General features: G+C 35.5%; 1 protein-coding gene across 4 annotated transcripts in view; it reads right to left on the reverse strand.

Moving 5' to 3' along the window:
* CCDC88A (coiled-coil domain containing 88A) overlaps window positions 1–19,776 on the reverse strand; it is a 132,015-nt gene that overhangs the window by 62,461 nt on the left and 49,778 nt on the right. For all 4 annotated transcript variants that reach the window (NM_001254943.2, NM_001135597.2, NM_018084.5 and 1 more), the window contains exons 6-8: window positions 13,648–13,731; window positions 12,006–12,146; window positions 5,277–5,449 (exon numbers count right to left, since the gene is read on the reverse strand). In NM_001254943.2, the coding sequence (NP_001241872.1) occupies window positions 5,277–5,449; window positions 12,006–12,146; window positions 13,648–13,731 (398 nt within the window). The remainder of the gene's footprint in view (window positions 1–5,276; window positions 5,450–12,005; window positions 12,147–13,647; window positions 13,732–19,776) is intronic.

A 19,776-nucleotide genomic window follows, 5' to 3' on the forward strand; every position in this document is an offset into this window, starting at 1 on the left:
GAAAGGAAATTACATACTTCCAATTGCCATATGATACTAAAATCTTTACTTCGCTATTGGTTTCTGCCCTGTAGCCTATAAACATCCTCAAATTTCTTCTATTAGTTTTTCTCTTAGAATTGCTTTACTTCTAATCTCCCATTTTCTCTCTCTCCTTCACAGTCAAGCTCCTTAAAATAAGCCTCCACTTACTATCTCTACTTTTCTACCTTCTGTTCTTTAATAATAAAGTAAATGTTCACTGTATAGAACTTATTGTTCTCATCTCGTGCCCTTACATTTTTCAAAACCATTATATATTAATATATATTATAAAATATAATGTGTATATTATTTAAAATATATTATTAAAATATATGTATGTATATATTTTAAGAGACAGGGTTTCACTCTGACGCCCAAGCTGGAGTGCAGTGGCATGATCACAGCTCACTGCAACCCTGAACTCCTGGACTCAAGTGATCCTCCTGCCTCAGCGTCCGGAATAGCTGGGACTATAGGCATGTGCCACCACTTCTGGCTAATTTTTTGTAGACACGGGGTCTCACTCTGTTGTCCAGGGTGGTCTTGAGCTCCTGGCCTCAAGCAATCTTCCTGCCTCAGCCTCCCAAAGCACTGGGATTACCGGCATGAGCCATGGTGCCCAGCCCAAAACCATAATTTTTAATGGTAGAAAAATATTCCCTTTGCTAGAGAAACCATACTTTACTAAGTGGATTCCATTTTTCATTGTACTATATAATCTTTTAGTAAATAAGCTCATTACTATACATAAAATCCTGTGTATTTCAGGATAGTTTTCTTTTTCTTTTCTTTTTTAAGAGAGAGGATGTCACTATGTTGCCCAGCCTTGCTTTGAACTCTTAGGCCCAAGAATTCCACCTCAGCCTCTTAAGTAACTGGGACTACAAGTGCACACTGCTGTGCCTGGCTTTTAGGACAGATTTCTAAAAGTGCATTACAAGTTAAAAGGCATTTGAAACACATTAAGTATCCCTTTTCTGAACTGCTTGGGACCCAGAAGTATTTAGAATTTTTTTCAGGTTTTTTTTTTCCTCCATTTGAGACAGAGTCTGACTCTGTTACCCAGGCTAGAGTGTAGTGGTGCAGTCCCAGCTCACTGCAGCCTTGACCTCCTGGTTCAGGTGATCCTCCTGCCTCAAGCTCCCACGTAGCTGGGACCACAGGCACATGCCACCACACCCCTAATTTTTAAAAATTATTTGTAGAGACGGGTCTCCCTGTGTTGCCCAGGCTGGTCTCAAACTCCTGAGCTCAAGCAATCCTCTTGCCTCAGCCTCCCAAAGTGCTGGAATTATAGGCGTAAGCCACCATGCCCTGCCTCATTTTAACCATTTTTAAACATATAATTCAGCAGCATTAATTATGTTCACAATGTTGAATGTTGGCCATTCATCTGTTAACATGCAGAATTCAAAACAGATGTCTACAGAAAAACATGCACCTGAATGTTCATAGCAGCATTATTCATAATAGCCAAAAACTGGAAAGAATTCAAATGCCTGTCAACCAAAAAATGGCTAATCAAAATGCGGTATATCCATTCAGTGGAATATTACTCAACTCTAAAAAGAATAAAGTATTGATACATGCTACAACATGGATGAACCTGGAAAACGTTATGCTAAATAAATGAAGCCAGTCACAAAAGGCACGTATTGTATGATTCCATTTATACAATAAAATGTCCAGAATAGGCAAAGTCATGGAAACAGAAAGCAGACTAGTGATTGCCAGGAGCTGAGGGCAAAGGGGGACAGACAGTGACTGTTACTGAATATGGGGTTTCTTTTTGTGGTGATGAAAATGTCATGAAATTGGTGTGTGGGCTGGGCACAGTGGCTCACTCTTGTAATCCCAGCACTTTGGGAGGCTGAGGCAGTGGATCAGAAGGTCGGGAGCTCAAGACCAGCCTAACTAACAAAGTGAAACCCTGTCTCCACTAAAAATACAAAAATTAGCCAGGCGTGGTGGTGCATGCCTGTAATCCCAGCTACTCAGGAGGCTGAGGCAGAATCGCTTGAACCCAGGAGGCAGAGGTTGCAGTGAGCCGAGATCACGCCATTGCACTCCAGCCTGGGCAACAGAGTGAGACTCCATCTCAAAAAAAAAACACACAAAAAAACACAAAAAAACAAGAAATTGGTGTGTGATGACTGTACAACTCTATGAATAAACTCTATGAAAAAAACCACTGAATTGTTCACTCTAAAAGGATGAATTTTCTGACCTGCGAATTATATCTCAATAAGTCTTTTATTTTTTTGAAAAATAATGAATAGTTTATATTAGAAAAATTATTTCAAAACATGGGATTTATGGAGGCAGAGTTAAAGGGAGTCTTTGGTAGTATTAACTACTGCATAAAAGTGAAATTGCTATTTTAAATTTAAAAATTACTTTTTTCACTCATATCACAAATTATACTTTTACTCTATATGTTTATAAATCAAAAGCAATTATATCATAATGTACTGCCCCATAAATGAGTATGCTGTTAATTTGCACTTTCTGATTGTAATTACTTATTGTATAGTTTCCATTTGGTATAAGGCAACCTGCTGTTTTTGTCTACCATGATTTCTGCACTTCATTCACTTTAGTAGAGATCTGTCCCAATAAAAAGAACTAATAGGAGATTTACTTCTTTTTAATAATAGAAGAAATCCATAAAGAAACACATTTTCAAAGGGCAATGAAGATATTAGATGGTATTTGTTGAAAAGCTAGTTACCGGGAATACTAGTTACAATACTGGCACATTTATTTACCCATTAAAAATATCCATTTACATTTTCTAATCAGTATTAGAAAACCAAATTTCATCAATCTCCTCAAGTTGTTTGGAATTTTAATATACTCTATGTCCAAGTAAATTTTATTTAAAAATTAAATTTGAACACAGTGCAAAACCTTAAACGAATTCACAGCCATCATTACGGTTCTAATTGCATGCTTTATCTAAAGACTGGAGAAGATTGTGCTAAATTATATGGAGCAAACTAGTGTTCACTATTTAGACTATCCATTAACTGCCAGTCAAACTAATAACAGCAATCTCTTCCCTAATTTTCCTGGTGCAGCTGTTTATAGAATATCCTGGGCGTGTTCATTTCAATAGATACATAATAATGCAGACATCCACAAATGAAAGCTGTTATTTTTTATTTTCAAATTTTCCTATGGACTGTAATATTTTTTCTACCTTGCATATTCAATCACTTTCTTTAACTACTTTAAATAATCAGTAAATAAATTTAATTGCTACACTGTGGTTTTAAATTTAAAATCTATATTCTGAAGCTCAAATTCCAAGAAACCAAACCAAAAAAAAAAAAAAAAAAAAGCCCCCACAACAAAAATCCTTTGTTCTTTTAAAAGTACAAAATAAAAACAAATCTCCAGCAGAGACTGATCACATCTTTACTTGTGGTTCACCAAGGAATGCCTATGTAACATTTACACTTACTTTTCTGTAATGGTCTTAAAATTAAGAAAATACAATTTCATCAGTACTAACCAAATCTGAATGCAGTCATGCATTGTTTAAGTATGGGAATACACTCTAACGAGTTAGGCGATTTCATCACTGGGCAAACATCACAGAGGATATAGTACTTACACAAATCTAGATGGTAATAGCCTACTATATACCTAGGCTATATGGTATAGCCTATTGCTTCTCAAACTTATACAGCATGTGACAGTACTGAATACTGTAGGCAACTGTAACACAATGGTTAAGTATTTGTGTTTTTAAACATATCTAAACATAGGAAAGGTACAGTAAAAATAAGGTATAAAAGATAAAAAATGGTACTTTTTTTTTTTTTTTGAGACAGAGTCTCGCTCTGTCAGCCAGGCTGGAGTGCAGTGGTGTGATCTTGACTCACTGCAACTTCCACCTCCTGGGTTCAAGCGATTCTCCTGCCTCAGCCTCCCAGGTAACTGGGACTACCACCACGCCTGGCTAATTTTTGTATTTTTAATAGACACAGGGTTTCACCATGTTGGCCAGGCTGGTCTTGAACTCCTGACCTCAAGTGATCCACCTGCCTCGGCCTCCCAAAGTGTTGGGATTACAGGCATGAGCCACTGCACCAGCCATGTTTTTAATATAATAAACTTTAAAATTTTTAAACTTAACTCTTTTATAATAATGTTTAGTAACGTTTAGTTTAAAACATAAACACATTGTACAACTGTACAAAAATATTTTCTTTCTTTATATCCTTATGCTTTTTTTCTTTCTTTTTTTGAGACAGAGTCTCGCTCTGTCACCCAGGCTGGAGTGCAGTGTCACCATCTCGGCTCACTGCAACTTCCACCTCCCTGATTCAACCAATTCCCCTGCCTCAGCCTCCCGAGTAGCTGGGATTACAGGCGCACCCCACCATGCCCGGATAATTTTTTTGTATCTTCTAGTAGAGACGGGGTTTCACCATGTTGGCCAGACCGGTCTTGAACTCCTGACCTCAGGCAATCCGCCCGCCTCAGCCTCCCAAAGTGCTGGGATTACTGGTGTGAACCACCGCGCCTGGCCTATATCCTTACTCTATAAGCATTTTTCTTTTCTTTTTTTACTTTTAAACTTTTTTGTTAAAAACCAAGACACGCACTAGCCTATGCCTACACAGGGTCAGGAACATCAAGGCATTACTAGATGATAGGGATTTTTCAGCACCATTGTAATGTTACAGGACCACCATCATATATGTGGTCCATTGTTAACTGAAATGTCGTTATGTGGCACATGACTGTATTTACCTTTACTAAGTACGTAACTCAGGCATTTCAATGCAAGATACATATACAAAACTATTTTTTGTTAATAGTATAATGCGAAGAACTCAGTCTTTTAAAACATTAAATTTTGGGGGGCAGAATAGGTGTAAAACATTAATTTTAAAAGAGTTATTAGACTTATTGATCTCCATCAGTAGTTCCTAGTAATTTGGATTTCAAGGAATGTAAAGACAAAAAACTAAGAGCCCCAATTTGCCAAATGAGGACATTATTTTATTTAAAAAAATACATACTAGAATGCTAGAAAGGCCATAAATCCAGAATAAAAGGCATCCTTTAAACTGTTAAGATTTAACAATAGGAAAACCTTATGCCAACCTCCTTATTTTTCTCATTTACTTGTGAAAACACTGACACAAGCTAGCAATATTTCCATAAGCTTAAAAATATTGTTTAGGTCACCTTTGGGACCATATAAATTCAATGAACCTCAAAAATCAGCAACTTACAATTCCTGCCTAAGCCTTCTTATCTTGGCTTTAGCATCTGCCAGTTCCACCGACAGATGTTGTCGACTTTCTGTTCGCTTCATGCCTGGAGAACCACAGGGTGACTGTGCAGATGAAGAGGCATGGGGTAGAAAATGGAGACCATCCCGCTCTTCAGAGAGTTCTATGATAGTCTAGAAATACACACAGAATCACTTTCAGTATTCTACATATTAGCAAACTAAACACATCAACATGATCCACTAGGTCTAAGAATTGTACTGCCATATCAAAAACAATTCACTGGTCAAAAACATCTTAACTATCATATTTAGTTGTCATTCTTAACTTTCATTCAACAGTTCATGCATGGGCTACTTAGCAAATGACACTTAACAAGATAATAATGCTTTTCCCTTCCTAGTTTTTTATTTATTTATTTATTTATTTTTAAAGTTCTGGGGTACACGTGCAGGGTATGCATGTTTGTTACATAGGTAAATGTGTGCCATGGTAGTCTGCTGCACCTAAAAACCCATCACCTAGGTATTAAGCCCAGCATGCATTAGCTCTTTTCCCTAATGTTTTCCCGACCTGGCCTCCCCTGACAGGCTCCAGTGAGTGTTGTTCCCCTCCCTGTGTCCGTGTATTCTCATTGTTCAGCTTCCACTTATAAGTGAGAACCTGTGGTGTTTGCTTTTCTCTTCCTGCATTAGTTTGCTGAGGATAATGGCTTCCAGCTTCATCCATGTCCCTGCAAAGGACATGATCTCATTCCTTTTCATGGCTGCATAGTATCCCATGGTTTATATGTAACACAGTTTCTTTATCCAATCTATCATTGAGGGCATTTGGGTTCATTCCATGTCTTTACTATTTTTCCCTTCCTAGTTTTTTTAACAAAAGAAATCAATTATGATGAAAATGATTAGATTAGACAGCCAGTGTTGGAAAGGCATAAAAGACCTGTTGACACAGAAAAGAAATAAACCCAAAAGTGATTTGGCCAGAACTATGTTGTCCAATGTAACAGCCAGTAGCATAGGTGGCTATTTAGTTAAAAATTTTTTAAGTTAAAAATTCAGTTCCGGGCCGGGCACAGTGGCTCACACCTGTAATCCCAGCACTTAGGGAGGCCGAGGAGGGCAGATCATGTGAGGTCAGAAGTTCAAGACCAGCCTGACCAACATGGTGAAATCCCACATGTACTAAAAATACCAAAAAATTAGCTGGGCATGGTGATGCGCACCTGTAATCTCAGCTACCCGGGAGGCTGAGGCAGGAGGTTACAATGAGCCAAGATTGCTCCACTGCACTCCAGCCTGGGTGACAGAGTGAGACTTCATCTCAAAAAAATAAAATAAAATAAAATTCAGTTCCTTAGTCACACTAGCCACATTTCAAGTGCACACAGTCATTACTGTATGCACTGGGACAGCCCAGAAATACAATCTTGGACAGCCCAGGAATACAATCTTGCCATCACTGCAGAATTGGACAGCACTGTTCTTGAATTATGAACAACGGTTCTTGGAGGGTCCTAACAATACCTCAAAGGTTTAGCTCAATCTCTTTACTCTGCAGTAAGTAACTGAGGCACAGTGATTGATTTCTCCATAATCACACAACTAGCTAATACACCATGACTCCAGGCCAGTCTAACTCCACATCTTATGCTCTAATAGTAGTTCCAATCTGCTTCCTATCTCAAAGATAGATTCCTTCCTTCCTTCTGCTTCCCATCTCAAAAATTCCTTCCTTCCTTCCTTCCTTCTTTCCTTCCTTCCTCCCTCCCTCCTTCCCTCTCTATCTCTCTCTCCCTCTCTCCCTCCTCTCTCTCCTCTCTCTCTTTCTTTCCCCTCCATGGGACACAAACCTCCCTTTCATTTTCCTAAGTCTAAACTTTAAGGGCTATAGGTACCTATTCCTCCATTCCCCTAATTTTCCTTTTGTTATCTGTAAATTCTCTTACTCTAAACCAATTTCTCAGGTTTTTCTTTCAAACTTCTCAGGCAAATAAACTGTCTTACATAGCAATTTCAGCTGTACTACTATTCTAGAAAGAATGGGTGGGGTTTACCACCTTGGGATCATGAAATAAGCATCCTTGCTTTATTTCTCATCGCCAAGTCTTATCTGCCTTCCCTGAATCATTACTTTTTCTTTTTTCAACATCTACCAGAATTCATTTCTTTATCCTCACAATACATTTCAGCACCTGTATCAAGGTCTGTCTTACCTTCCTGCCAGTAACTATTGCTTTCCGATTCCAGTATGTCTGTTGATGAACCTCAGAATGTTACCTCCCATTTTTCTCCCTACTAATTTCATGTCCACTCCTTATTCAATACATACAGTTTTCTCCAGCAAACAAAGCAATTCTTCTATTGTAGCACGCCTCCTTTACTATCATTTTCCTATGTCACCATATCTACTCCTGAACCTTTAATCACTCAACTCCTCCCCGCTTTTACTCAGTCCAAGAGATTATTCCTGGCTACTTTAGAGTTCCTACTCAGCCTGGAATTATAATTAAGCCCTTAAATGTCATCCTTACTGTGCTGTTACTGACTCACTCTTTGAAGAAAAAGAAAAAGGAATTAACATTTATAGAACTTGTGAGGGATTTTCCAACATGATCTCATCCAATACTATAATTTGCAATAGAGGTATTATGCCAGTTTTAGACATGATAAAACTTAGGCTCATATGGATTAAATAACTTAACCAAAGTCACCCAACCAATGATATGGATAGCAGAGATTCAAATTCAAGTTTGACTCTATCGCTGTTATCCTCCTGGTCCACCATCAGTTTTCTCTATTTTTGCTCCAAGATGATAAAGCTCTAACAGAAAAACAAGAAGTTACACAGTCCTACTACAGATCTTGCTATCCATTTTCAATCAAACTCTCTCTACTGCCCATCTATCCTTTTATTGAAATCTTGCTGATTTCCTTTCAAATTTCCCTATGATGACTATGTAAATGTTACCTTTTCTCTACTTAAGCCTCCAACTGCAAACTGCTATCATTACTTCCAGTAAATGACCTCTCCTCCAATTTGCCAAAGAAACAAAACCACGTGGGATTAACTCCTTTATTCTTATGCATTTTTTTGCTCCTAATAGATAATCCTTACTTAAACATTTCCATTTCTTTCTTCTTATTGGCTTTTTTCTCTATGTTCTTCAAAGATATACAAGTTTCTTCAACCCAGGGAAAAAAAAAATCACAATCCCTTCTTGGCACTTTTTGAAGGATGGTTCCTCTGTCCAAGGACACTATTCAGTTCTATCCCTCTATCAGCATGCTCATCCCAACTTCCCTATCTCTCTGTGAGTAGTGTTATTAATCTCCATAGTAGCCCAGGCTCCACATACTTGGAGTCAACTTTTATTTGTGTATTTTCTTACTGTCTCAATTATCTTTAATCTTGCTTTCTAACATCTCCTGACTCTAACAAAGCTGACAGATAATAGTATTTAATATTTGTCTCATGCACAAATAAACTAGCACTTAATTATATGCTAGCTCATATTTTGTACTTACAAATAATGTAGTTTTCTCAATAAACCAGATACAATCTTTCTTACACCTCCTTTGTATCTCTCAATCTCTAATTTTATCTAGCATAGTATTTTACACAAAAATGGGTGCTCAAAAATATTCAATTAAGCAATTCACAAAATTAAGAACAGGAGAAAATACAGAAGACAGATACTACATTTGAACTTAGTAGGTGGTGAAATGGAGATATCTATCAAGAGCTTCTAGAAGTCAATGAACTACATATTACAAAATATTAAAAAGAAAGAAAGAAACCTGGTATTTTAAAAGTTAAGAGTTCCCAGAGTATTTTCCATTAAAGATTATTTAGATATTTTGACATTTCTCTAATGGCAGTAACTTCTTGAGTTCAAGGCTTCCTATACATTTTCAAAATAGTCTGACTCAAAAACAAACAAAATAATCTGACGGGAAATGTTTTTAAAGCATAACGAATTTCGTATGCCCCCCCATTCCTGTAGCATATATATAAGAATATATATAGAAATATATACTATATGCTATAGGAATATATATAAAAAATGATATATATCATTTTTGTACTTATCACTTTCAAAATTTTATTATAGTTATTTTATTAAAATAACTTCCTTATTAGACTATAACAATCTTTGGTTCTTTTTTGAAATAGTTTGTCAGTTTTTTGCTCCCAAGCACAAGACCTTGCAAAAACCAGGTGTTTCTTAATTTATACTGAAGAATGAACATAAAAAGATACATCAATGCTAACAACAAAAACAGGTGACCTATTAATTCTACTTGTAGAACTCATTATTAAGGAAAAGAAATTAGAGATGTGCTCAGTACAATCATGGATTTAGGCAAAGGTATTACAGTATTATGTTTCTAACCATGGGCAGTGGAGTTAGATCTGGCAAGTTACTTAACTACTTGGGGCTCAAGTATCTTCATCTATAAAATGGGGTTTTCATGCAGATTTAATAAAACAGTATGTGTTAAACTTGTAGCACAAAGTGCATAAAATAAATAGTGATAATAAAGAGATCTTAAATTCATTAAAAATCTATTTGGGTTTTAGTAAAAGGAGAGGACTGAAGACATACTTGTTCTATAGCATTAAGAATACGAAAGAGAAATGTTAAAAAGGGTGACCAAATATATACTTTTTAGACTGAAGTGAAACAATTATAACAAAAGCTAATCAAAACAAAAAAAGTTAAAGAGAAACTCTAAATAACAACTTGTTTCAATCTAATTGAATGACATAGAATTAGATTTACATACTACCTTTACATTTGTCTAACATTTTTCACAATTTTTTAAATGACCTTTTCAAGTTAGTCTACTGGTAGCCCAAATTGAGGGAAAAAAATTTCCCGGATAACTGGATATCTCTCCTCCACCCTCTCCCAGCTAGCAAGTTGTTTCCCAAGTATCTGAGACAGAAGAGTATGACCACTTTTTCTTCCTTATTTGAAAAAGAAATTCAACAAAAATGCTTAATTGGCAGGATAACACATTTTAAAAGGTTTTTCAAACAATCATTCTATATAGTATTTCATATTCCTTTTAGTTTACCAGAGGCATGTAATGATAAGTATTCTGTTCACCCCATATTAATCAATTCACTTAAATGGGATCAAACTTTTTTTTTGAGATGTCCAGCCTGAGATCAAACATTTTATACGCACCCATCAGTCATACAAAACCAAAGCATAGGTTGGGTGCAGTGGCTCACACCTGTATTCCCAGCACTTTGGAAGACCGAGGAGGGAAGATTACCTGAGGTCAGGAGTTAAGAGACCAGCCTGGCCAACATGGCCAAACCCTGTCTCTACTGAAAATACAAAAATTAGCCATGCGTGGTGGCGCGTGCCTGTAATCCCAGCTACTTGGGAGGCTGAGGCAGAATTGCTTGAACCTGGGAGACGGGGGTTGCAGTGAGCCGAGACCACACCACTGCACTCCAGCCTGCACAACAGAGCCAGACTCCATCTCAAAAAACTTTAAAAAGTAAAATAAAATATAATAAAATAAAACCAAAGTATAGATTTTTAGGAATAATTCCTCAGAAACTGGAGGATACCTTATTGTAATATCTTTAACAACTTGAAATACAAATAAATAAATGTTCTAGAGAACGCATAAATCAGTAAAAAGACACTAAAAAAAGATAGCATAGAGTTAAAAAATCTGATTGAAAATGAAATGATCTAAGTATCTCAGGATAAATTTGATGCATAGTAGGAATGTTTTCCAATTTATTCTTTCCTTCCTTTGGTCTCAAAGTCCTAGCTTTTTAAAAAATTTAATTGTTGCTCTAAAAATGTTTATTTTGTATATTTTCTTTTTGTTTAATGCCTGAAGAAAAATTGAAAATTCACATCAGAACTGACTAACCCCTAGAGAGACAAGAAAGTTTTATTCTGAAAAAAATCTTTAGGAATTTTCTCTATGTAGTCTTTCATTGGTCTCAAGAGTATTGATACAAATTCTCTATAAATAAGCTCAAAACTGTCTCTCACATGTAAACGAAACTGATAAAAGCTATATATTCTGCAGAATGGCAGAGTACTTTGCTCTGCTATTAAGAAAATATTACCCACCACCACACGCACTAAAGTCTAGACTCTTTAAAATTATAAACTGCTTTCAGACAGTGCAGATAGAAAACTTGGTACACTGTGACTCTTTTTAAAAAGCAAAGCTCTGTTTTAACGGACTTAAAATAATTCTCTTTTTAAAATCACACCTCATTTGAGATCTTTTTTGGGACATTTTATTCAGAACACCTGTTATTCTCCTTTTATTAAAACTTACTTTTCCAACCTCAACATGTGGCAATAAAACTACGAAATTAGCCTTAAGCAAATTCTTATGCTTCACGGCAATGATTTTTCCACTTACATCAACTATATTTTCAGTTTCACACTTTTGTATTGTTGCCAAAGCTGTGGGGATGACTTGAAAAACACACAGGAAGAAAATCAGAATAATACTAATTTAAAAGAAAAGGAGAAGAGAAAACCTAACTGCAATCTGTTTACTAGCAATTTGGGGTTCTTATACATCCTTTCAGGTTCCTGTGTTCCACACAAAAAAAGACACTCCTGTATCACCTGTCTCTAAGAAATAGTATCGTTTCTGAAAAGTTCCTAAAGCTACTATTTTCTTTTTTGGAAAGCAAACTTTCACAATATACTGAAAGAATTTTACAAACCTCTGAATGTTCATCTCTCTCATCTATAAGTCTTTTTAGATGCAATGCCATATTTTTCAAGAGTGGTTCTATGTCCTCCTGCGACATATCAGTCACTTCCATCCATTGCAGGTCAAACACATTTTCCTGATTATGAGTTACCTTTAGAAAAGTGACCAAAATAAACAACCAAAAAAGTGGCTAATACTTAAAAATCTATTTCACTATAGTACAATATTAGCCCAAGTATTATATAACCCATATAAAATATGAAAAGCCAATATGATGTTAAAAGGAGAACATTTGAAATGATAAAAACACTACAAATAAAAATTATTTTAACTAAATATAAACCTTAAATGAATTAATATTCATTTTCTAGTCAACAAAAATAAAATATTAATATTTAACTCAAGGCATTCTTAAAGGAAAGTAATGTTGATATATCCTGATGACTTCTTTAACAAAATCAACTGAATTCTGTAGATAAGACTTCTAATTTATTGTACTTGAATTCAAGAGCAAAAGGTTTTTAATCTTGTAGGATATATGTTATTGCATTGTTGTTACTGAATATCTAGGTCTTTATAGATTCTGAAGATGACACTGTCACAGAAGCTTAGGAGAAAGGATTACCAATATAAAGATCTTGAAAAGAATGGAAAAGTTATATAAGTGCCTTCCATTTCTCAGTGTAATTCTAATAACTTGCTTTAACTTTCATAACAAACAGCAAAAATAATTACACTTCCAAGGATGGTGGCAAATTCAGTAACTTGCAATACTTAGCATTTATTCAGAATAAAACAAATCCATATAACTAGCATAAAGCAAGTATGTCTCTATAATGGGAGACTACCTATAAAACTACATCTTGTAAAGTACTAATATGCTTATTGTTGATAATAATGTTACTGATAAGAAATCTGGGCTTTACAAATGCTAAATAAGAGAAAAGATGTCCTATGGAACACAAAAGTCTTTTGAACAAAGAATATTTTAAATACTACCAATTTTCACTATAAAAAATTTTCTTTTCCCTTTTCTAATCAACATGTAAAATTTAACATACTAATTCTAAAGTGTCTTTATAAGATTAAAAGCCCAAGAATAGACAGACATAGAAACAGCAGCTTTTAAAATGAATCTTAACAAATTTTAATTTCAATTATTTGACACTGCACAATATGCCCTAGACTTAAGTTTTTATATGAATGCTACAAATCATTAATGTGTTTATAATTCAAGTAATATCTTTAATAAAAATTATGCATCTATTCTTTCAAAAGAAAATCAATGGAATAATACTAAGCTTGTCATCTTACCTCACTATCGTTTTGAATTACAAGCAGTGTTCCACTTTCTGCTGTTTCCATTTACTGCTTTGTAATCCATTCTAACAAAGACATATACCTCATTCCTCAAATAACACTTTCTGCCTATGTCACTATAGAATAAAGGCAAGAGTATATTTGTAGTTAACAGTGTGCCAAGTGTAAGAAACTATCTCTAAAGAGAAGACAATTTGTATAAAAGCAGGGTCCATCTATATTTGTTGATTTGTTCTTGCTTATTCTATGACTTTGAAGTATTTTAGGAGATAGACAAATAAACACACCACAAGCTTCATAAATAGCACGTAAAATTGTATATATGTCATTACCTCTTGAATATGTGCGGCAACCGCTGCTTTTGTATCAAAATCTAAACCTTGAATTCTTTCAATAAATTCCTCTTTTTTCTGACACTAAAATAAATGAATAAAATAGTTATTCATACTTTATAGGGTATGGTCCTTAAAATGTTATATATAACTAAAACTTTATGAGGTTTGCTATATTTTGAAAAGTATAGTAAGAGTTTTGTTTTGCATTTAAATTGTCCAACATACTTACCTAATAAACAACAATTTAGAAATAATTATTTTAAAAAGCAAGGCACTGAAAATCCATACTATTTTTATGCTGGAAAGTTCTAAAGTGGGAAACCATTACACAACCCATCTGAGGTTAGCACAATATTATTATGCTAACTTTACACACAGAGAAGTAAAGAATCAAGAACTTGTTTCAGTGAGGATAAGTTACTTGCCAAAAAACACAGTGAGTCAGTGGCAGAATTCGGAATACAGCCAAAATGCTCAGTCAGTCCCTGACTATTACCAAACAACACAGCCTTTCTTCTTGGAAAAAAAATTTAAGCAATTTTTACTTCAAGCTTACAATTCATTCTCACATCTTCATCCTATCAAGCTTAATAAAAGAAACCCACTTTTGTGGCCCAGTTCAACATTTATAACATAATCTAATAAATATTTGATTTGTTTCTAACAGAGCAAAGTTACCAGAGGCAAACTTAAAAAATATATACATGAGTACACACGTAACCAAATGGAATAAAGGGGGTAATTCTTTATTGTGTAACTTTTAAAAAGCTTTATATAAATTAAAAATATTAAAATGCAAAACAATCTTTTCCTTCCAGTCAGCATTAACAATTTAACATGCATTTTAATCTCCACCTTCACCTACATCTCTAATGCTGCAAACCAACTGCTAGTATCACTGTATTCTTACAGCTAACAAATGCAAAGTGCCTACAAAATAGACAGCACTGCCTTGTCTAACTTAGATGCATCTCCTGGGCCAATTACTGAACTACTAGTGAGGACAATATAGTCACAAAATTACAAACTAGCTCTTTGATCATGAAACTTATAAGGCTCTGATTTATGCTTTACGTGTTTATTTTATCAAACTGTAATGCTATATTTTCTACTACTATACAATTTAAATACACTTCCATCAATGCAGAAAGTTCTATATCTTGTAAACACAGAATTATTAGGATAATAAAATGGTTAAAACTAAATTACCAGAAATGTATAATTCCTAGCTGTGATTAGGAAGTCAGAGTTTTGGGTGGATGGAATAAAACTTAGTGGGTTTAAACTCAAGAATTTTTTTCTAGCAAATAATACTTGACAGGCCTTGTAAGAACAATTAAGAATTACGTTCTAATCATAAATTCATAGCATATATAACATAATTAACTTTTCAGGTATAGTAACATCAATTTTAAAATTTAACACTACCAAAATTGTTGACCTACACAGTTTCTGAACCTATCAGAACACAAAACAGCATAATTATTATCAAAGGTAATGACTATGACTCACCAAAGAGTTCCTTAATTCAACTGCCGTATCTTTCTCTGCCTTCAGTTTAGACTAAATAGATATACTTCCCTTTTCTAAGCCAGAGCCACTTGTTTTTTACTTGTACTATCTTTAGGAGCTCGTCCTTTAGCACAATCTCAACACAAATCAATGAAAATTTTCCCTTTACTCTTGTAACACACACGATTTCTACTAAATCTCACACCTTAATTTAACTCTTAGAAGCTAAGCATTCTCAAAATGTTTTATAAACAGGTTGGGCTTCCCTAAGGATACAGAATAAATTTCATAGGCTTTTGAAGGCTAAAAAAGAGAAAGACTGTCAAGATGGAAAAAAGAATAAAATATTCACACTTTGAAGCTGAATAATCAGATCAAATTTCTATATGAGAGCTGCCCAATACGGTGATCATTAGCTATATGCAGCTACTGAGTACCTGAAATGTAGCTAGTGCAACTGGGAAACTGAAATTTTAATTTAATTGTAATTAATTTTAATTTAAATAGCCACATGCGGCTAGTGGCTACTGTATTGAATAGGCCAGCTCCAGAGCATGAGAAAGTCTGGTGTTAAAAACAGATATATAGCTTAATACCAGCTGTGAAGACTAAATAATATCAGCAAATTGTTTTTTCCAATTAAAATTAAGCTCTCTTATCTTTATGTAAAGTTCTTAAACTATCATGGGCACTAAAATTAATTTTTTAACTCTATTGTATTATAGTAACTGATTACTAAGCCAGTAGATTACCATGATATTCTAAGAATACGACATGGAGGCCAGGCGTGATGGCTCAAGCCTGTAATCCCAACACTTTGGGAGGCTGAGGCAGCTGGATCACCTGAGGTCAGGAGTTCAAGACCAGCCTGGCCAACATGGTGACACCCTGTCTCTATTAAAAATACAAAAAATTAGCCAGGCATGGTGGCAGGCGCCTGTAATCCCAGCTACTTGGGAGGCTAAGGCAGAAGAATTGCTTGAACCCAGGAGGCGGAGGTTGTAGTGAGCCAAGATTGCGCCACTACACTCCAGCCTAGGCAACAGAGCAAGACTCTGTCACACACACATACACACACACACACACACACACACACACACACACACACACACAAGATATGATGTGGAAACTTGGACATAGGAAAAAAGCAAAAAAAGTGATTAGGGTGGGAGGTGGGTGGGAGAGATATGCATAAACCCTAAAGTTGTACATCTTCTACCAGAGATCTTAAGCCCTTAATACTTTATTCCTCAAATTCCTCATATTTTCAATACCTGCTCTATGATCTTAAAGAAAGAAGACAGGTTTATATGGAAAAGCTATACTAAAATAGAGGAAATGGCACCCAAAACAAGCTATTGAACAAGAAAATAATAAGACAAGGAACACATTATAGTGTTTTAAATAAGAAAACCGATAATATAGGTCTAAACAAATCATAGTTCTACCAAAGAGCAATAAGCAGGGATTCAAACAGACATTTGTACACTCATGTTCATAGCAACATTGTTTACAAGGGCCAAAAAATGGAGGCAACTCAAGTGTTCATCAATGATGAATGGATGAACAAAATTTGGCATATATAAATAATGGAATATTATTCAGCCTTAATAAGGAAGGAAACTGACACATGCTATAGCATGAAAAAACCTTAAAGACATTACGCTAAGTGAAATAAGCCCATCAAAAGGACAAATACTGTATGATTCCATTTATATGAGGTACCTAGAACAATCGAATTCATAGAGACATAAAGTAAAATGGTGGTTACCGAGGTCTGGTAACAAAGGGAGTCATCATTTAATGGGTACAGAGTTTTAGCTTCAGAAGATGAGAAAAATTCTTCAGATGGATGGTGGTAATGGTTACACAACAATGTGAATGTACAGCAATCAGAATACCACTGAACTATATACTTAAAAAATTGTTAAAATGGTAAATTTCCTATTATGTATTTGAAAACAATACTTGTATCAACAAAAGTCTCCCTCTTTGAGCTATATTTGTATTTTTAAATATTCTCAGAAAAACAAATGCCTTGCTAGAAATTGTTTTATTTCCTTGTTTTTTTTTAAGAGACTGGGTCTTGCTACGTTACCAGGCTGGAACACAGTGGTTATTCACAGGCATGATCATACCATATGGCTGCCTTGAACTCCTGGCCTCAAGTGATCCTCCCAAGTAGCTGAGACTAAAGGCGCATCATTGAACCAAGCAGAAACTTGTTTTATTTCTAAAATGTTAACCTTTAAGATGCTTTACAGATCATTGATAAGTAAACAATAGATTGTAGCCATCAAACTAACCAAGTTCAAAACTGGTTTTCAGAATCAAATACTAACGGTAGATTCCTTCTAAGGGTACATAAAAGGGTCAAAATTTTAATTCCAACCACACTTGACACTCAGTTACTTTCAGCACTACCCAACCTGGCCAAAGTCCAAAATAAGTAATATTTCTGGATACTAAGCAGCCTGCACTGATAGGTATTATGTAGGTTTTAAGTTCTGCTAAAAAGAGATGAATTTCACATAGTCTTAGAACAAAGAAATTTCCAAACAAAACACTGCAAAACTTTTTCTTCTGCATAGGATGGTTTCACCTAGGACTCTCTAACTACTTCAGGGCTAGGATGAAGAGTCACAGATGTGTGAAAATTCTAGGTGATGCTCAGAACTGGTTCAGAAGACTTGGGTTGCCCATTGAAAAAGATTCTGGAGGAACTTGACTGAGTTGGACAGCCAATAACAAAAATACCCAAGCCCTGGCCTTGGATGGTTTTCTTCATATTTAAAGTTATTTATGTGGCTTTTACTTACATATAATCAAGGATTAAAAGTCATAATTTATTTTGTCAGGTAAGATCTTTGGATAATGGTTAACTTTACTGTTTTTGAATGCTGCTTCCTCTTAAGAATTTCATTTTTTTTCTTCAAAAGAAGAAAACATTTTTCAATTTCCCAATGCTTGTTTCTCTCTCTCTTTCCCCCCTCCCTCTCTCTCTCTTTCTCCCTCTTTAATTAAAAAAAAATTTTTTTTTGTATAAATAGAGTTTCCTTATGCTGCCCAGGTTGATCTCAAACTCCTGGCCTCAAGCAATCCTCCTGCCTCAACCTCCCATAGTGCTGAGATTACAGGCATGACCCACTGCACCCAGCCCTATTTCTTTTCATGAATATAGTATCTCTTGAAACCTGTGGTCCACTGATTTCCTAAACTTTAGTATCAGCAAATTGTATCTTGCTATTTCTATCTACAAATAACAATTATAACAGATAAAATTGATTGACCTAGATGTGGGAAAACATGCTATTTACATATTAGAATTTTAATCTGTTCAACTATAAGATGAACAAATTTTCTGAAATAGAGAGGACATTTTACAAAATATTCCAACAATACTTGTTGGCTGATTGGTTTCCTCAATAGCTTCTTGTCCAGAAACACATTCTGGCTATTAAGTATCAACAAAGACTTCTAATTGTTTATATGGTCACAGCTGAAGGCTGACAGATTTTGGTCACACATTTTATATTATTAGTAGTAGTGGCTCCAAAACACCCACAGAATAATTTTTTTCTTTTTTTTGAGATGGAGTCTTGCTCTGTCACCCAGGCTGGAGTGCAGTGGCACAATCTTGGCTCACTGCAACCTCCGCCTCCTGGGTTCCAGCAATTCTCCTGCCTCAACTTCCCGAGTAGCTGGGATTACAGATGCCCACTACCACACCCGGCTAATTTTTGTATTTTTAGTAGAGACAGGGTTTCACTATGTCAGCCAGGCTGGTCTGGAACTCCTGACCTCAGGTGATCCACTGTTCCGGCCTCCCAAGTGCTGAGATTACAGGTGTGAGCCACCATGTCTGGCCTGAAATCTGAACTCTATCTTAAAGTGGCAAATCCAGTCCTTCATAACTCAATTCATGTAAACTCTCCAGTCTAATACCTTGCCACTCATCCCCATGAATCCTACGTTTCAACCACACTTTTTTTTTTTTTTTTTTTTGAGATGAAGTCTTGCTCTGTCGCCCAGGCTAGAGTGCAGTGGAGCCATCTCAGCTCACTGCAACCTCCATCTCCCAGGTTCAAACCGTTCTCCTGTCTCAGCCTCCTGCGTAGCTGGGACTACAAGCGCAAGCCACTATGCCCAGCTATTTTTTTGTATTTTTCTTTTGGCAGAGACAACGTTTTACCATGTAGCCAGACTGGTCTTGAACGCCTCACCTCAAATGATCCACCCACCACCACCCCTGGCCCAACCACACTTCATGTTCCTTGAATAGGGTGTTTTCTCAACATCTTTGCTCTCATTTCAAATATTACCTTGTCAGAGGGCTTTCCTAATACTACCAGTAAACTTAAGAAAATACTTCTTCAATGCACCAATGTATATTACATTACGGTAATTATCACCTCAAACTCGTACTGTTTACTCTTGTCTTCTCTAAAATTCAAACTCCTTGAGCTTTACGTCTTTTTTCTAAAATCCTTGTCCCTGTCCTTTACTATAGCACCCATAAACATTAAAAGAAAAAAATTAGGTCACTAACATTTTTGAAATGCAGAATGATAACATTTTTCAAAATTGGATCCTTCCTCTTTTCTTGGTAGATAC

Source organism: Homo sapiens, chromosome 2, assembly GCF_000001405.40.
Source record: "Homo sapiens chromosome 2, GRCh38.p14 Primary Assembly".
Taxonomy (NCBI): Eukaryota; Metazoa; Chordata; class Mammalia; order Primates; family Hominidae; genus Homo; species Homo sapiens.